Source organism: Homo sapiens, chromosome 6, assembly GCF_000001405.40.
Source record: "Homo sapiens chromosome 6, GRCh38.p14 Primary Assembly".
NCBI classification, from domain to species: Eukaryota; Metazoa; Chordata; class Mammalia; order Primates; family Hominidae; genus Homo; species Homo sapiens.
The window spans coordinates 52,246,326-52,263,378 of NC_000006.12; the positions used below are offsets into that span (position 1 = coordinate 52,246,326).

Consider the following 17,053-nt stretch of genomic DNA (forward strand, 5'->3'; position numbering starts at 1 on the left):
TGGTTTTTTTTAACCAAAATTAATTAGCAAGTAGAAGCCTTTAAATGCAAGATTGGCAGCCCTGGCACTGCAGCTGGGGCAGCAGAGCCAGGACGGCCCAGGAACTGACAGACTGAGGGATAGGCAGACTGACCATAGCCGACCAGCCAAAGCCCATCAGCCTGCTCAAGAACCTGCTGGCCAGTGGCTTTGGTGGCATGTGCCTGGTGTTCATGGGGCACCCTCTGGACACTGTCAAGGTCCGACTGCAGACACAGCCACCGAGTTTGCCTAGACAGCCTCCCATGTACTCTGGGACCTTTGACTCTCTCCCAAAGACTCTTAGAAGGGACATCACAGGGCTATATAAGGGAATGGCTGCCCCTATCATCGGTGTCACCCCCATCTTTGCTGTGTGCTTCTTTGGGTTTGGTTTGAGGAAGAAACTATGACAGAAACACCCAGAAGATGTGCTCAGCTATCCCCAGCTGTTTGCAGCTGGGATGTTATCTGGTACATTCACCACAGGCATCGCGACCCCTGGAGAACCCATCAAGTCCTTGTTACACTTTCAGCCTTCTTCAGGGGAAACCAAGTACACTGGAACCTTGGACTGTGCAAAGAAGTTGTACCAGGAGTTTCAGATCCGAGGCATCTACAAAGGGACCGTGCTTACCCTTATGTGAGACGTTCCAGCTAGCGGAACGTATTTCATGACAAATGAATGGCTAAAAAATATCTTCACTCCGGAAGGAAAGAGGGTCTGTGAGCTCAGTGTGCCTTGAATCCTGGTGGCTGGGTGCATTGCAGGGATCTTCAACTGGGCAATGGCAGTCCCGCAAGATGTGCTCAAGTATCCCTTCCAGACGCACCTCCTGGGAAATATCCTAACAGTTTTGGAGATGTGCTGAGGGAGCTGATCTGGGATGAAGGAATCACATCCTTGTCTAAAGGGTCTGATGCAGTGATGACCCGAGCCTTCCCAGCCAATGCAGCCTGTTTCCTTGGCCTTGAAGTTGCCATGAAGTTTCTTAATTGGGCCACCCCCAACTTGTGAGGCAGAAGGCTGCTCAAGACTTCTGGATGCTGGAACTGTTGCTGAGAAGGAAGAGTAGTGGGCAGAACTAAGCAGACTTGGAGAATGAGGGGAGGAGACGGTGGGATCAGAGCTCTGCGCATGGACTTGGTGAGACTGTTGCCTTAATGACATCCTCTACCTTGTATAAGTTGGTGTGTCATTTCGCAACTTGAATTCATTCTTGTCAATGTAAGGGACCTTAAGAGGATTTGGAGATCTAGTAGTTTCTAGACCAGATACTACCTGTGGCAAGAATACTGCCTACCAGTTGACGGTTGGCCCTACCACACCCAAAGTGTTTCTCATTAAAGAGGTAATCTCAGCTTCTCACTGGAGGCACTTTGGATGCTTTCAACCAGCTGACCAGGGGCTGAGATCATCTTCAATCCCTAGCCAGGAACACCCACTTGATTTCCAGGGTACCACCTAATCCTGGGCTGCACATGGGGATTTGGACTTGAGCCCCACATCTGTGTCCAACTGGACTGGGCATATATGCTTAGGAAGAGATAACCTATTAGCTATTGATTTTTGCTTTTTTTTTTTTACACAAGTAATCAAAAGTAAAACTAGAGTAGAGTAGCCTAATTTCCCAAGAATGGGTGAAAAACTTTCCTTTCTACACAGTGAGGACAGTCCCAGCCTGCTGGGATAAGTGAGAAAACCCAGGGTGAAGGAAGGCTCTTTCTGCACAATCTTTTCTCATGAGAGCGCCATATTTTTGTTTCCAATTTTTGAAGGAAAAAAATTAAGCGTTTAAATGCTCTGACATGAAATTTAAATGACCTGCAAAAAGTTAATTTGTCTCAGTTCAGTTCAGGTTGTCAAACATTTGTTAAACACATTCTATGTGTCAGGCATTGTGCCCTAGAGATACACAGACATTCCCCAAAAAACAGTAACTTATCTTTTTTTACATTCATTAAGATTGGGTAAAATTACACATCATCTTTTCATAAGGCAGGACACATTCTAGCAGGGCAAAGTTATTTTCCTCTAGCGTAACATGTTCGAACAACTCTTTGCCATTTTCTTCACATGAAGAAAATGAAGAGAAAGTTGTTCTTAGGTTCATTGGAAGGCCCTGAAAAACCGATCAAAATTCTGTGATCACAGGCCTTCCATCCACCCTGCTCCCCTCCATGCCTGTGCAATCCTCTGCAGCTCTCTCTGGAACAACCAGAAGTGTAACTTCTACAAAAAGATTTCCTCAAATCACCCTTTCAGGCATTGTTCCCTTCCTCAACCTCTTGTGCCAATACTTGTGTATCTTGCCCTCACATACATGTTTTAGGATAGTTCCCTGGGATCTTCATATATTTGGGTAACTTTACCCTGCTTCCCAATAATCTCTACCAGCCTCCTTCTCCAAATATACATCCTCAAATATACAATCTAGATTAAACAGTGTATTCTATGCAAAGACAGACTCAAGTCCCCTGGCCAACCCCTTCTAGCCAGACTGAACCCCCTAAGCCCATCTTACGGAGAATTTTCAAGGCCTCCCCAGGAGTGACCTTCCATGTGCACAGTGAAGGTAGCTCCATGAAATCAAGAGCCATGTTTTCATCTTTGCTTATATCACTCATGCTCCCAAAGCAACATGTGCAATAGACCTTTAAATGTGTACTAAATTGAGTGGATTGAGTCACTCATTTTCTTCAGTGATCTCTTTTCCATTCAGAGCTGTACCTCAATGCATAGAAGAATATACCAGCTCTCTTGAAAGAAAGAATGAATAAATCAGTTGGAACCAAGAGTACCGAATTCAAAACAAGAGGATTTGCTAGATTGCAGGGGAGAACAAAATGGTTCTTTATGTAAGCAGGAGGCAACACTGACCTTTGGTCACAGTTTTCCCCCTTGGGGTAAAAACAACTCTTATCAGGATGCCAGACTGGTAACTGGCTATCACTGAGTTCAAACTAAATCAACAGATCCAGATTCTTATCTCATCTAGCATTCATTGAGCACTTCCTATAATGTAAATCATGTGCTAATACCAGGGACACACTAATGAACATATGATGGGCACACGGCTGACTATGGTGGAACCCTTCACTGACTGGCTCTATACCACTCATGATCTAAGCTGTCACCAGCTTTAAGAGTTTCAATAATGCATTGGAGCCATTATTCAACACACTGACAGCGAGATGACTACAGTCAACTCCAAGAGCCCACAAAAAGAGATACCAAAAGACTCTGTTGTCTTAGCAATGAGTTACACACAGCCTCAAATGTGGTAAAATACTATACTTCTTCAAACATCCAAATCAGCAAGATGTTTTCATGCCCTCATATGTGCTTGGAGCCATGATACATTTTGTTGGGGCTAGTAGCACAGGCAATAGACTGTATTATTACAGTCTCTACCTTAATGAGCTTAAAACAGTCATGGAAAAAAGTGAACACGCACATATAAACCAGTAAGATAATAATATGAGATTGCTGGGAATAATGATAAAATAAATGTACACATTTAGTTTAACAAATACAACTTTTAAAAACTTTTATTCTCATTTTTAAAAGGGGTATCTAGCCAGGTGTGGTGGCTCATGCCTGCAATCCCCACACTTTGGGAGGCCAAGGAGGGCAGATCACTTGAGGCCAGGAGTTTGAGACCAGCCTGGGCAACATGGCAAAACCCTCTACAAAAAATACAAAACTTAGCTGGGTGTAGTGGTGCACACCTGTAGTCCCAGCTAATTGGGAGGCTGGGGCCAGAGGATCACTTGAGCCCAGCTACTCAGGAGGTTGAGGCTGCAGTGAGCAGAGATTGTGCCACTGCTCTCCAGCCTGGGTTACAGAGTGAGACCCTCTCTCAAAAAGAAAAAAGAAAAAAAGTGCATCTAATCAAGATATACTACTGCAACATGACAGTATATCTGCAGTTACAGAAATTTATGCCTTGAAGTAAAGTGCTATCATAACAGAAAGCATGAAACAGTGGTCAGGTAGCACGCCATAGGCTGGACAGACGATAATCCATGCTCTACAATGGCAAAACATTTAGTTAAACCATTGCCTGCAATAACTTGAGAGGCAGATCTTGTACCTAATAAACTTGAAGCTCTAGAGAAAGAGATTAGAAAACAGAATGTTAGTTGCATGTGTTTGGATACTGTTGTCTGCATTTGGCCAAGTAACACATAAAAGAGATGAGCTCAGGAAAGAGTTGGCAGGTTGATAAACAAAAATGAAAGGAAATGAAGACAGTTCAGAAATTCAGAACCCTAATTACCCAGGCGTGGCGGTGGGCGCCTGTAATCCCAGCTACTGTGGAGGCTGAAGCAGGAGAATCACTTGAGCCTGGAGGCAAAGGTGAGCCGAGATTACGGCACTGCATTCCAGCCTGGGCAACAGAGCAATTGACTCTGTCTCAAAAAAAAGGAAAGAAATTAAGAAATTCAGAGCCCTGTAAGGTTGCAACAGAAGATTGAAAAAGCCTTTGAAAAAGAAATGCACAATAAAACCTTTCAACCAAGTAAATTACCGAAGGGCAAGAATTAGAATGAAGCATCTGGAAAAAAATGTTTAACTGGATAAAAGGACTCAATTAAAAGTGTAAAAGTATAGTTCTAGTAATCTGCCATCAAATCAAGACAGAGTTATAGGAATGAAGAAACAAAGAAATAGAAATGTTCTGGGAATTATGCCTCAAAAAGAATTGACTCAGATTAGAAGTTCACTAAGTTTTTGAGAGAGCTCTAGAAATTAATCAGGAACCAATCCTCAGTCCCCCAACCATCAAGGAACAAGAATTAAAGCTCTAAGAAAGGTATATTCACCAACACCATGTCAGATGTGACCAAAGAGATTACAGGGAGAAAAAATAAATTTTTTAAACCTTCCAAGAAGTGGAGCCAGGGACCACAGAGTAAAAAGGAAGTGAGCCTCTCCCAAAAAGCAGAAAACTACAGACCCCACAAACTCTACATCATTCTTGGGGTTTTTTTTTCCTTTTAATGCAAAACATTTCCAGTTTCAGACTTTTTTGAAACTACTAATTCAATGTTTCATATTTGTTTGAGTCAAATATTCAAAACCATTATGCACTTTCTAGAATCTCCACAAAATCACAATTCATAGAAACTAACCCTTCTTTTTAAATGTAATGATTAGGTATGAGTGCGGTGGCTCACGCCTGTAATCCCAGCACTTTGGAAGGCCGAGGCGGGTAGATAGCTTGACCTCAGGAGTTGGAGGCCAGCCTGGGTAACATGGTGAGACTTTGTCTCTACAAAAAAAATACAAAAATTAGCCAGGCATGGTGGTGCACACCTGTAGTCCCAGCTACTCAGGAGGTTGAGATGAGGGGATCACTTTAGCTAGGAAGTCAAGGCTCCAGTGAGCTGTGATCGTGCCACTGCACTCCAGCCTGGACAACAGATCGAGATCCTATCTCAAAAAAAAAGAAAAGAAATGATTATTTGTCAGATGAAAATGCTGTGCTAGGGTCTTCATATGCCAATATTTGTGAGAGTAGAAATTACTTGGGGTATAGGTAAACAAAACATAAAAAACACAGAAGTCTTCCTTTCCCTTCTGTCTCTGTAGTTGTCTCTCATTCATTCTCTCTCTCTCTTTCTCAAAGCATGCAATTTCTGATCTTCTGATGAAAAAAAAGCCGGGAGAGATGGCAGTGAGAGAAGGGGATCAGAGGCAAAAGCTGAGAAAAGAAAAGTAAGGAGAAAAAAATACTTCGGAAAGGAGTTTCCCCAGAGTGCTGTGTGAGGATCCCGGACGGAATACAGTTTAAGTGGCTGGACAAAGTTCCAGATCGCATGAGGGACCTCTCAATTCTGAATCTATTCTGTGGACCTGTGAAGGCTTTTGCATTCAAGTTTTATCTACTTGTTAGCGGAAACATCATTTATTAAACACTCACTCTGTACCAGTCTCTGTGCTGGGTAACAGGAAGAAAAAGTGCTACCAAAAAAAAAATTGCCATAACAGTTTTCTCCTTCCAAGAGAGCTGCAAATTTTATATCAGACCAGATGGCACTTCTGTCTTGAAGAGAACTTACCTTTTTGGAAGTGCAAAGACAGAGCCTATTCCAGGGTAAAGACAGGGAAATTGCTACACATAAAAAATAATATGGTCAGGCACAGTGGCTCATGCCTATAATCCCAGCACTTTGGGAGGCTGAGGCGGGAGGATCAATTGAGGCCAGGAGTTCAAGACCAGCCTGGGCAACACAAAGAGGCCTCCATCTCTACACAAAATAAAAAAAAAAATGCTGGGCATGGTGGTGTGCACCTGTAGTCCCAGCTACTTGAGGGGCTGAGGTGGGAGAATCGCTTGAGCCTAGGCAGTCAGGGCTTCAGTGAGCCATGATCCTGCCACTGCTCTCCAGCCTGGGTGACAGAGCAAGATCTTGTCTTCAAAATAATTATAATAATAGGAATTTCAGTTAACCCTAGAGAGAAGAGAAATGAGAGCTGCCATCCAGAAACTCCTAGTATCTGAGATGACCAGGGAACTAAGAGTCATGAGCTTTATATTCAAATTGTTTCAATGTGTATGTTGTGCTTTAATTCTTTAATTAATTCTTTAATTCTCTTCCATTATTTCCATGTCTAAGGTAAACCTCTTTATATACAAAACAGGTTTATGATGTCTACATGGAGCATATATATATATATATGGAGAGAGAGAGAGAGAGAGAGGACAACAGCCTCAGGAGGGGAGGCAGCACGTATGGATAGAGCAAGATTTAGAATGAGAAAGTTGGCTCTTTCTTACCCCTCAATCCTGCAATCTAGGAGAATCTTACTGCTCAAAGTTTGGTCCTGGGAACAGCAGCATCTAGCTTGTTCGCACCTGGGGGCTTGTTAAAACTGGAGACTCTCCAGCCCCCATCCCAAACCTACTCAATCAGGCTGCATTTTCACAAGATGCCTAAATGATTCATATCACATGAAAGCCTGGGATGCACCTCATTAGGGAACATTAGGGAAGGTGCTGAACTTCCCATAAAATTGCAGTGAGGTTCACGGAACACATTACATTTTCTGAAACAGAAATTGAGACTCAAGTATCCTTGAAAGGCTATTGAGATTTGAAAAAAAAAAAAAAAAAGACGTCTTAAATCTCAGAGCTTCACTCCCTCATAGCTAAGAACCATACCTATCTTCCTACTTTGGAAGGCTCTTTGGCAAGCGTGGGGATGAAGAGAATAATGGGAAACTGAGGCTGTTCTTTGTCAACGTTAGGCGGTGGCCTCCGTGGGCGTGGTCTGTCCTTGCAACCGCGGGCTGGCAGCAACTCCTCAGGGTTTCGTGCAGACTTCACTTACTCAGCAAGCAAGCTGATTTCCTGCGTTGAGGTGGATGGAATTAATCAACATGCTGCCAGAATGCAATGCCTGGGGAAAGCCCAGCTGAGCATCTGTCAAACACTGTCACATTTTCCTGGCTTCCTCCCACCAAAATTTCTCCTCAGTTTGATGAACCTGGGATCAGCAACTTTTGCTCCTGTCCTTTCCCCAAGGACAACAAACTCCACTGACAACCAACAGAGTTTTGGGATGGTGGGTGGGGATGACAAGCCTGGGCCCGGAAAGATGACCTTTCACTCCATTCTTGCCCAGGATTAAATTTCCGAGCCTTTAGGCATTGGCCCAAATCTCATGCCTGCCCCCCAACCTCATTTATTAAAGCAAATTCCTTTCCCAAACCCTCCACATGCCACACACTCAATTTTCTGCTTTTGCTCCACAAAATAGTTTGAATTTCTGAGTCTTCACCCTCTCCAGGCTAGTGTCTTGTTCCTGGAATGACCATTTCAGTTCTGCTCACCTGGGTTCTATCCAACCTCAATATCCACGTTCTCAGACCCAAAACCCACTCATGTCTTTCCTTCTTCCAAACTCTCATCATACTTTCATGACATTTCATTTAGCAATTAACTAGAGACAATGAGAGACAACTTTTTAACTGTCTACTTGAATGGCTATTTGCATGTGCTTTGGCTATTTGTATGTGCTTTGGCTTTTTACATGTTAAAGTGTTTATTCCTAATCTGCTCTCTGGATCTTAAACTTGTTGAAGGAGACAACTGTGACTTCTTTCCGCCTTTTACCCTTCCCACCATTCTCAAACCCCTAGCAAATTATTCTGCCCATAGCTGTAGATATTTATTGACTTGATTTAATTTGATGTTAATACTAGCTTATTTCTTCTTCTACCTAATTTCTTGCTACCTTCAATTTCTAATATATCAGTACTCACAAAGTTGTCAACAAAAATGATTAAAGTCGGAATGTTCTAGAGAAGAGAAAACTTACACCACATATTTTCAAAACTTTAGAAATTTTTCAAAAGGGAAAGAGATTGGACTATCTCTAGAACACCAAATCTTGATGAACAACTGGTAGTGATGTTCCAGAGTAGAGTTATGCATGGAGGGGCTGTTTGGATTGGACCACCTCCAAGGTCCCTTCCAAATTTGTGATCCTATGGAAATTCAACAAAAAATGGTATTTCATTTAAAGATACAATTTCAGTCTTGGAAGTAGGGGTGTGTGTGTCTGCGTGTGTGTGCGCGCGTGCGCGTGCACGGATGCACACATGTATATGGGGTGGGGTAATAATATATCTTCTGCCCTCTTCAGTTTTTTCCTTCTTCTGTGGAAAACAATCACATGACTCCAAATGCTAAAAATTCCAAGTGTCTTAACTGTATGTTTCCCATGAAGATCTGGATTGAGAAGAGAATAAGAGGCAGCAGAGATCCAGTGAGAGCACTGAAACAACCACACTTCTGAGAAATGTGTTACTTTCACTCCTGCACGGATCTGACTCAGAATGATGATTCTCAGGTTCTCCTAATTTCAGTTGAAATGCTGTGGAAGGACACAATGAAATGGCTTTCCTGTGAGGGACACTTCTTCATCTGTGCAGAGGTAAGGGCTTGAAGGATGTATGAAGGGCAAAGGAGAAAAAAAAAATGAATATGGGGAGGTACCTGGGAAGGAAAAGTGGAACCTGCCTGCTCTTCCTCTGTCTGCCCTCCGGGGTCCAGAGCAGAAGGCAGGAGCTCCTAAGTTAGCAGGGCTCATTCCACTGCTCTCTCTAATGCTTTTGGCCCTGAGAAGGACTGGGGGCAGGGTAGTGTCAAAGGAAGGTGGATGAGAAAGGACACCAAGGAAAAAATAAAGACTGAAATGGTTCTTGGCTATGCAGAGCCCAGCCCTTGTTTAAGCTGGAGAGAAGGCTTCTTGTAGATTGCACATTTATGTCGATTATGCAGATTTTGCGTTAAACAACTCAGGAGAATACCACTAGCAACTTTGTTATCCTGTGACATCTCTGATACCTTACAGGTCATCCCTAGACCTGGAAACCCATTAGTTTAGCCATTAAGTCAGGCAAGACATCTCCATATCTTTGATATCTCAGCTATCATAGATTTCAGGAGCCACACAGGTCTTTGGAAACAATCTGGTGCAACCCACTCAGCTGATGATGGGAGTTAGAATGGCTTTCCTACAGATAGCCAGTGGTGGAGAAGCTTGGCCTGGACCCAGGCCTCTTGACTCCCTCTAGACTCTGTCTACAAATAAAGGGATCCCTCTCTCCAGCTCTTTCAGGGCCATTTTTCCCTGGTCTAACACTATCAGCTCTTTAACAATGTGCTGACAAAGGAGGGAAATGATTATAATAGGAATAGCCCTGAGCTCTGCCTCCTGTCAGATCAGTGGGGCATTAGATTCTCATAGGAGAGGGAATCCTATTGTGAACTGCATGTGTGAGGGATCTAGGTTGTGCACTCCTTATGAGAATCTAATGCCTGATGATCTGAGGTGGAACGGTTTCACCCCAAAACCATCTGCTCTCCAGCCCCACATTCACCCTTGGACTGGGAAAAACTGACTTCCATGAAACCAGTCCCTGGTACAAAAAAAGTTGGGGGGTTGTCAGAGGACCAAATTTATAAGGCAAGCAGCACCTTCTAAGTGATACCTAGGACTTGGGGTCAAGATACCTGAGCAATTCTGTTCTCTAAAAATGAGAAATGAAATTAATCTTTGGACTTTTTATCTGAACCCTTTTTAGCCTTTACACATTATCTTTTACACATTTATCTTTGTATGAGAAAGGATTTTTTGTTTTGTTTTGTTTTGTTTTGTTTTGTTTGAGATGGAGTTTCACTCTTGTTGCCCAGGCTGGAGTGCAATGGCACAATCTCAGCTCACTGCAACCTCTGCCTCCCTGGTTCAAGTGATGCTCCTGACTCAGCCCCCAAAGTAGCTGGGATTACAGGCATGTGCCACCACGCCCAGCTAATTTGTTTTGTATTTAGTAGAGATGGAGTTTCACCATGTTGGTCTGGCTGGTCTCAAACGCCTGACCTCAGGTGATCCACCCACCTCGGCCTCCCAAAGCGCTGGGATTATAGGCATGAGCCACCGCACCCAGCCTGTATTAGGAAGATTAATGGAAACAAGATCAGACCAGGTGATTTCAATAATAGTGGGTTTTTTTTGTTTTGTTTTGTTTTGTTTTGTTTTGAGACAAAATCTTGCTCTGTTGCCCAGACTGGAGTGCAGTGGCACGATCTCAGCTCACTGCAACCTCTACCTCCTGAGTTCAGGCAATCCTCCAGCCTCAGCCTCCCAAGAAGCTGGGAGTACAGGCACGTGCCACCACACTGGCTAATTTTTTGTATTTTTAGTAGAGACGGGGTTCACCATGTTGCCCAGGCTGGTCACAAACTCCTGAGCTCAGGCAATCCACCCACCCCAGCCTTTCAAAGTGCTGGGATTACAGGCATGAGCCACCACGCCCAGCCAATGATATCTCTTAAGATGCAATATTCCACCAACGTTTCACCTCAGGTTTTCAAAGCTTATACAGTGGTAAAAGTTGCCTTTTCTGCACTTTCTCTGTTAATAATAGGAAGAATTTTTAAACCACTTCCATAACTCTGAATTGCAGATATTACTGAAAGTATTACGTCATGAGAAGTCTATGTGTGAGATCTTAAAAATAAACTTCAAATCTCAACCAGACTAAATGTGGCAATTTTTAAAAGGTAGGGATGGGATTGAGGATTATACCCAGTGTCAGCAAAGACGTAGGACAATAAAATCATCCTCATACATACGTGTGAGATATATATAAATCAGCAAGTTAGTGAGGTATACCTAAAACTTTAATAATGTTCCTATTTTTGGTCCAGCAATTATACTTCTAGGAAATTGTCCTAAGTAAAATAAGCATGTGAACCAAAATTTGGCAACATGGTTTTTCATCACAGCATAATTTGTAATCTGAAAAACTGATAATATCCAACTACAGGTATCTGAAAAAACATACCAGATAAGTTCTCTGTGGGTGACTAGATCATAAGTATATTTTATTTATTTCTTATGGTTATTTATAGTGTTTCACCAATGAAAAGATCCTAGTTTTGTAACAGGAAAAAAAAATATTTGAATTGTTCTTCGTTTAAGAATGTTAACAGGCTCCAGCAGGGCAGTTTCCTGATAACTAGAGTGACTACACTAGCACAAGCTTTGTGAGACAATATGAAATAGCAAACACCAGTCACTGCCAAAAAGGCCCCTTTGCTCTCAGGGCAAATCCCTGAGATGGCTCAGACAGCATCACCAGCTATGGATGGTCTTCCACTTCATCTCTGAATGCCAGTACCCACACGCCTCGTCACACTAGAATTCTGTCATCCCATCCACGAGATTCACTCATAGATGTAGCTCTGACCACCTCCAGCTCCCCAGAGCACTCCCAGCCCTTTGAAGGGAGCACACAGTATGCTGGTTAGAACATAGTAGTTGGCTGGGCGCGGTGGCTCATGCCTGTAATCCCAACACTTTGGGAGGCCAAGGTGGGTGGATCATCTGAGGTTGGGAGTTCACGACCAGCCTGACTAACATAGAGAAACCCTGTCTCTATTAAAAATACAAAATTAGCCAGGCGTGGTGGCGCATGCCTGTAATCCCAGCTAGTCAGGAGGCTGAGGCAGGAGAATCACTTGAACCTGGGAGGCAGAGGTTGTGGCAAGCAGAGATCGTGCCATTGCAATCCAGCCTGGGCAACAAGAGCAAAACTCTGTCTCAAAAAAAAAAAAAAAAACCATAGTTAAGAATCAAGAGTGCCAGTAGGATCTCCACATTCTAGCTCTGAGACCCTGGGCAAATTATCTAATCTTTCTAGGCCTATTTCCTTCTCTATAAAATTGAGACAATAAAATCCACGTCACAGAGTGGAAGATTTAATTATTATAATTTATATGGTGCCTAGTATATAGCAGCAGGGCCGTCGCTTCTCATCTGCCCCACACACGAGTACATAAAGTTGTGCCTGGGAGCCAAAGTTTGGTTGGGAGTTTAGAACCTATATACATCATCCCTATGTTAAACTCTAATTTTCTCAGCTTTTTATTCTCCCTTAGGGTTAAATGTGACCTGTCAACATTTGCCTTTCTCCTGCAATCAGATTTTCAAACATCTGACTTTTAAGTTCAGTTTCAAAAACATTTTTTGTCCCTAAATTCCTAAACCAGTTTGTTAATCTCAAGTGCCTAATCTGAAACTTGCTTATACAAATTGGATATACTATGAAGTGTCACTCTTAAAACTGGTTTTAAGATTCACCAAATTGAGTTATAGTAGTTATATTAGGGTAGTAAGGTAATTTTTATTCTCTAGCTTCCTGAATATTCCATGTTATATTCGTAGTAATATTTTCTTTAAATAGGCCAGGTGCAGTGACTCATGCCTGTAATGCCAGCACTTTGGGAGGCTGAGGTTGGAGGATTGTTTGAGGCCAGGAACTCCAGACCAGCCCGGGCAACATAGAGACCCCCATCTCTACAAAAGATTTAAAAATCAGCCAGGCATGGTAGTCCCAGCTGTCTGGGAGGCTGAGGTGGAAAGATTGCTTAAGCCCAGGAGTTTGAGGCTGCAGTGAGCCGTGTTTGCACCCTCCAGCCTGGACGACAGAGCAAGACTGTCTCAAAGAGAAAAAAAAAATAACCACACACTTTTGTTTTTGGAGGTTTTTATCAGGTTTTATTGTGGTTCCTATTCAGGACTACATGCACTGAAATTACTAGAAAAGCAGCACAGCACACATACGCAAGATTACAGGAGCTGACCTTTCTATTGCAAGGTTAAATAGTGGTACTTCAAGCTAGGAAGGTTTAGCTTGCTACAAAATATACCTGCTGGGAGAACTATTATCAGAATGGTAAATCTCAGCAGAGGCTAATATCCCCCTACAGGCTGTGGGAAAATACTTAGAACTTAACAGTAAAAATATTCACAAAAAGACTGAAGAGAATGAGCTAGGATTACATGCTGGTTAATAACGGACCAGCCAGAATCCAAGACATATCACTAAGGCGCCAGACCTGAAAAAGAAAGTAAACCAGGTTTACTTTTCAGGAATTTAAAATGGAGTTAAAATTAATTTTGTTCTAAAGTGTTTCTAGGATGGCCAGGTGCAGCAGCTCATGCCTGTAATCCCAGCACTTTGGGAGGCCAAGGCGAGCGGATCACCTGAGGTCAGGAGCTCGGGACCAGCCTGGCCAACATGGTGAAACCCCCATCTCTACTAAAAATACAAAAAGTAGCCAGACATGCTGGCAAGCGCCTGTAATCCCAGTTACTTGGGAGGCTGAGGCAGGAGAATCAGTTGAACCCAAGAGCCAAGATCATGCCACTACACTCCAGCCTGGGAGACAAAGTGAGACTGTGTCAAAAAAAAAAAAAAAAAGTGTTTCTAGAAATTCAATAAAATCTCTTGAAATAGCTGGCAACATCCTGGGACACTATCCACAAAATAAGGAAGCATAGAAATCACTGTCCCTAAAAGGCATATTTAACATGGTGACCAACAACTCATTCTGACCTGCCTCTCCAAGCAGTCCAACCCAGGTTTTATCAAGTGGTGCCAGTGCTAACGTCTTGTGGGTGGAACTGGCACTGAATGTAAAGAAAATCATAGCCAGGCATGGTGGCTCATGCCTATAATCCCAACACTTTGGGAGGCTGAGGCGGGAAGCTCACTTGAGCTCAGGAGTTCGAGACCAGCCTGGGCAACATCAACACCGTCCTTACAAAAAATGTAAAAATTAGCTGGGCAGAGTGATGTGCACCTGTGGTCCCAGCCACTCAGGAGGCTCAAGAAGGAAGATCACTTGAGCCCAGGAGGTTGAGGCTGCAGTGAGCCATGTTTGTACCACTGCACTCCAGCTTGGGCTACAGAGCAAGACTCTATCTCAATTTCAAAAAGAAAGAAAGAAAATCACATTCATTACCAGAAGGGACCTCAGAAATCACGTAGTTCAACCACCTCCTTTTCCAGATGTAGAAACCATGCACTTTCCTCTAAGTGGCCAGCCTAGCTTGGCATGTTAACTCTGGTACCTAGTGTCAGAAAAGGAACTCAGATGCACATGCCTTTGCTTACCAGTGCAGGGCTCATGTCACCCTGCCAACCTTTTGGCTCTCAGGTGAGAGTTCCTATGCAACCAGAGTTTAACGCTCCACCCTCCCCACTTCCCTACATGTACAGCAGACATGGCGTTACCTGGCTCTTGAGAAGTGGGGAAAGGAAAGGATGGCAAGGAAGGGAAAGAGCTTGCACAGAGCTTGTTAGGGCTGAGCACCTGAGGCAGCCAGCACACAGGTGACTCTTGTGCTTGCCATATTCTACTGACCAAACCCTCCAGGCAGAGCTCACTTCACAAGCTCAGAATCATTAGGACAACTGGTGTAGTCTGAAATCTCCTCAGGAGACATGAGAAAGAGAGGGCTGGCAGATTCACTCGTTTCTGTGAACCTTTCTCCTCTTTATCCCCCTTGATGTTTTCCTACCACCCGGCCCTGTTGTGAGGTAACACTGTCCTCAGGAGAAAGCTGAAAAATGCATTGCCGAGCTAGCGCCGAGAGGGTCCTCTCTGGGGGAAGTGCTTGCCTCAGAGCCACACTGACCGGAATGTGGGAACCATCAGAGAGTGGAAAGGCAGGGAAGAGATGAGAGTTCAGGAATGCAGCCAGGGTGAAATCATTGTAAATGGTTTTGATTAAAGGATCATGTTTCATAAACATTTGTCAAAATGAATCACTTTGTTTTAATGGGCCCTCGAACTTGCAGTAATCAAAACCACTGCCATGAAGTAGTAATACACCAGGTGGGAACCTGCCATCTGCTTTCCCAATTATGTTTCACAAGCATCCTACAAGGCAGGAATCATCCCCATTTTACAGCTGAAATAAAGAGTAGCATAAAACTTACCTGAAGTTATTCGGTAAATGGCGGAGAAGAGATTCAATTTCAACAATCCTTACCAAATTGTCCTTTTTGAAAACCACCCTTTCATTTTGCCACTTCATTTATCCAGGGGAGTTAAGGAATAAGGTGCCATTTTTCAAGATACAAAAACTTACTTCTCTAAGCTCCCCAAATTATTTTAACTACAGTATTTCAGACCACAAACCTAAATGTAAACAGACTTCTCTTTTGGAATGAGGCACGCAGATAATTTAGCAGTTTTCTCTGGTGAATCTGGGTCACCACTGCAATCTCTGCAGGGTGGCAACAGCGATACCCTCAGGGGTGACTGGACTTGAGACATGTCAGCCCACTTGAGCAGCCTCTTTCAGGTCCCCACAGTAGGTCCTGCAGTGGATCACCTGTCAACAAGCAAGAACCTATCCTGGAAAAGCTTACCAGCTCTTTTCTGTTCTTGTAAGCTGGGAACTACATAAACAAGTTTCTTAAAACTCAATGTAAAGGTTGAATCATGCTATTTTAATACAATTAGTATCTATTGTGGCTGCTATAGTCTTCTACCTACTATTCTTTTGACTAGCTTGAAGAGTGATGAAATGGTCAGCAAAGTCAACCTGATATTACAGCTATTATCACAATGGTAGGTGCACATATCCCCCCACTCTGTGCCTCAGTTTCCTCAGAGGTGAAGGACAGACTAAGAGTCCCATTGACAGAATGTTTGCCTTTCTAGAACAAATCACTTGAGGAGATCCCTAAGAACTCCTAGAACTGTTCTTCATAGCTGTACCCCATCAGTAGCACCTGACATCCTCATGGTCCTCCCTGGATTCCTATATCTCTGTGTGTGCCCTCATTTGGTATATAATCATACTTAATTTTTTTTTAATAAAGACAGGGTCTCGCCATGTTGCCCAGGCTGGCCTTAAACTCCTGGACTCAAGCAATCCGCCTGCCTCAGCCTCCCAAAGTGCTGAGATTACAGGCATGAGCCACCGTGCCCAGCTGTACACTTTATATTTTGAAATTTTCACCAACATATTGACATATCCCCAGCCTAGAAGCCTCAGAGCAGAAAGCGCCACTTTTGCACCCACTGCTATACCTAGCACAACTTCTGACTTATTGCCAATGCTCAACAAATGGCAAATTCTTCCTTCTGGTACCACTGCACTCTCTTTTGAAACTGTGCTCTCTAGACCACTTCCAGTAGGACTTAGATCTCGCTCGCATCAGTGAGGGGGAAAAAAAAATCCCAGATAAAACAGAATTCCCCAATAATTTTGTACTACTCCCTTTAAGAAAAAAATCCCTTTGTCCTAACGAACCAAAGAATATCTCCTGCTTTGTGGTAAAGGATCACCCCTCAGCAAAAATGGAAAAGAAAATACCTCAGCAATCTTACAGCCAAGAACTGGCACAACTTCAGAGCCACATCTGCCACCAGAAAGCAGCTTCCGGTCCATGTGACCGAGGCCCCCCATAAAGTCACATGATTCTTCTAAGTAACTTGAAAAATTCTTCAGAAGCTATTCAAACCATATAACGGTAGGACAGAAGTCCCGCCCTGGCCCCATCACAAGCTTCTGTGCAAACAGGCTAACCAACCCCAAAGAGTGGACACCCAGGTAGTTTCAAAAGCATCCTGTAGGCTGGGCACAGTGGCTCACACCTATAATCTCACAGTTTAGGAGGCCGAGATGGGAGAATCACTTGAGTCCAGGAGTT

General features: G+C 43.4%; 1 pseudogene; it reads left to right on the forward strand.

The window, feature by feature from the left end:
• On the forward strand, nt 49-1,779 carry SLC25A20P1 (solute carrier family 25 member 20 pseudogene 1; annotated as a pseudogene).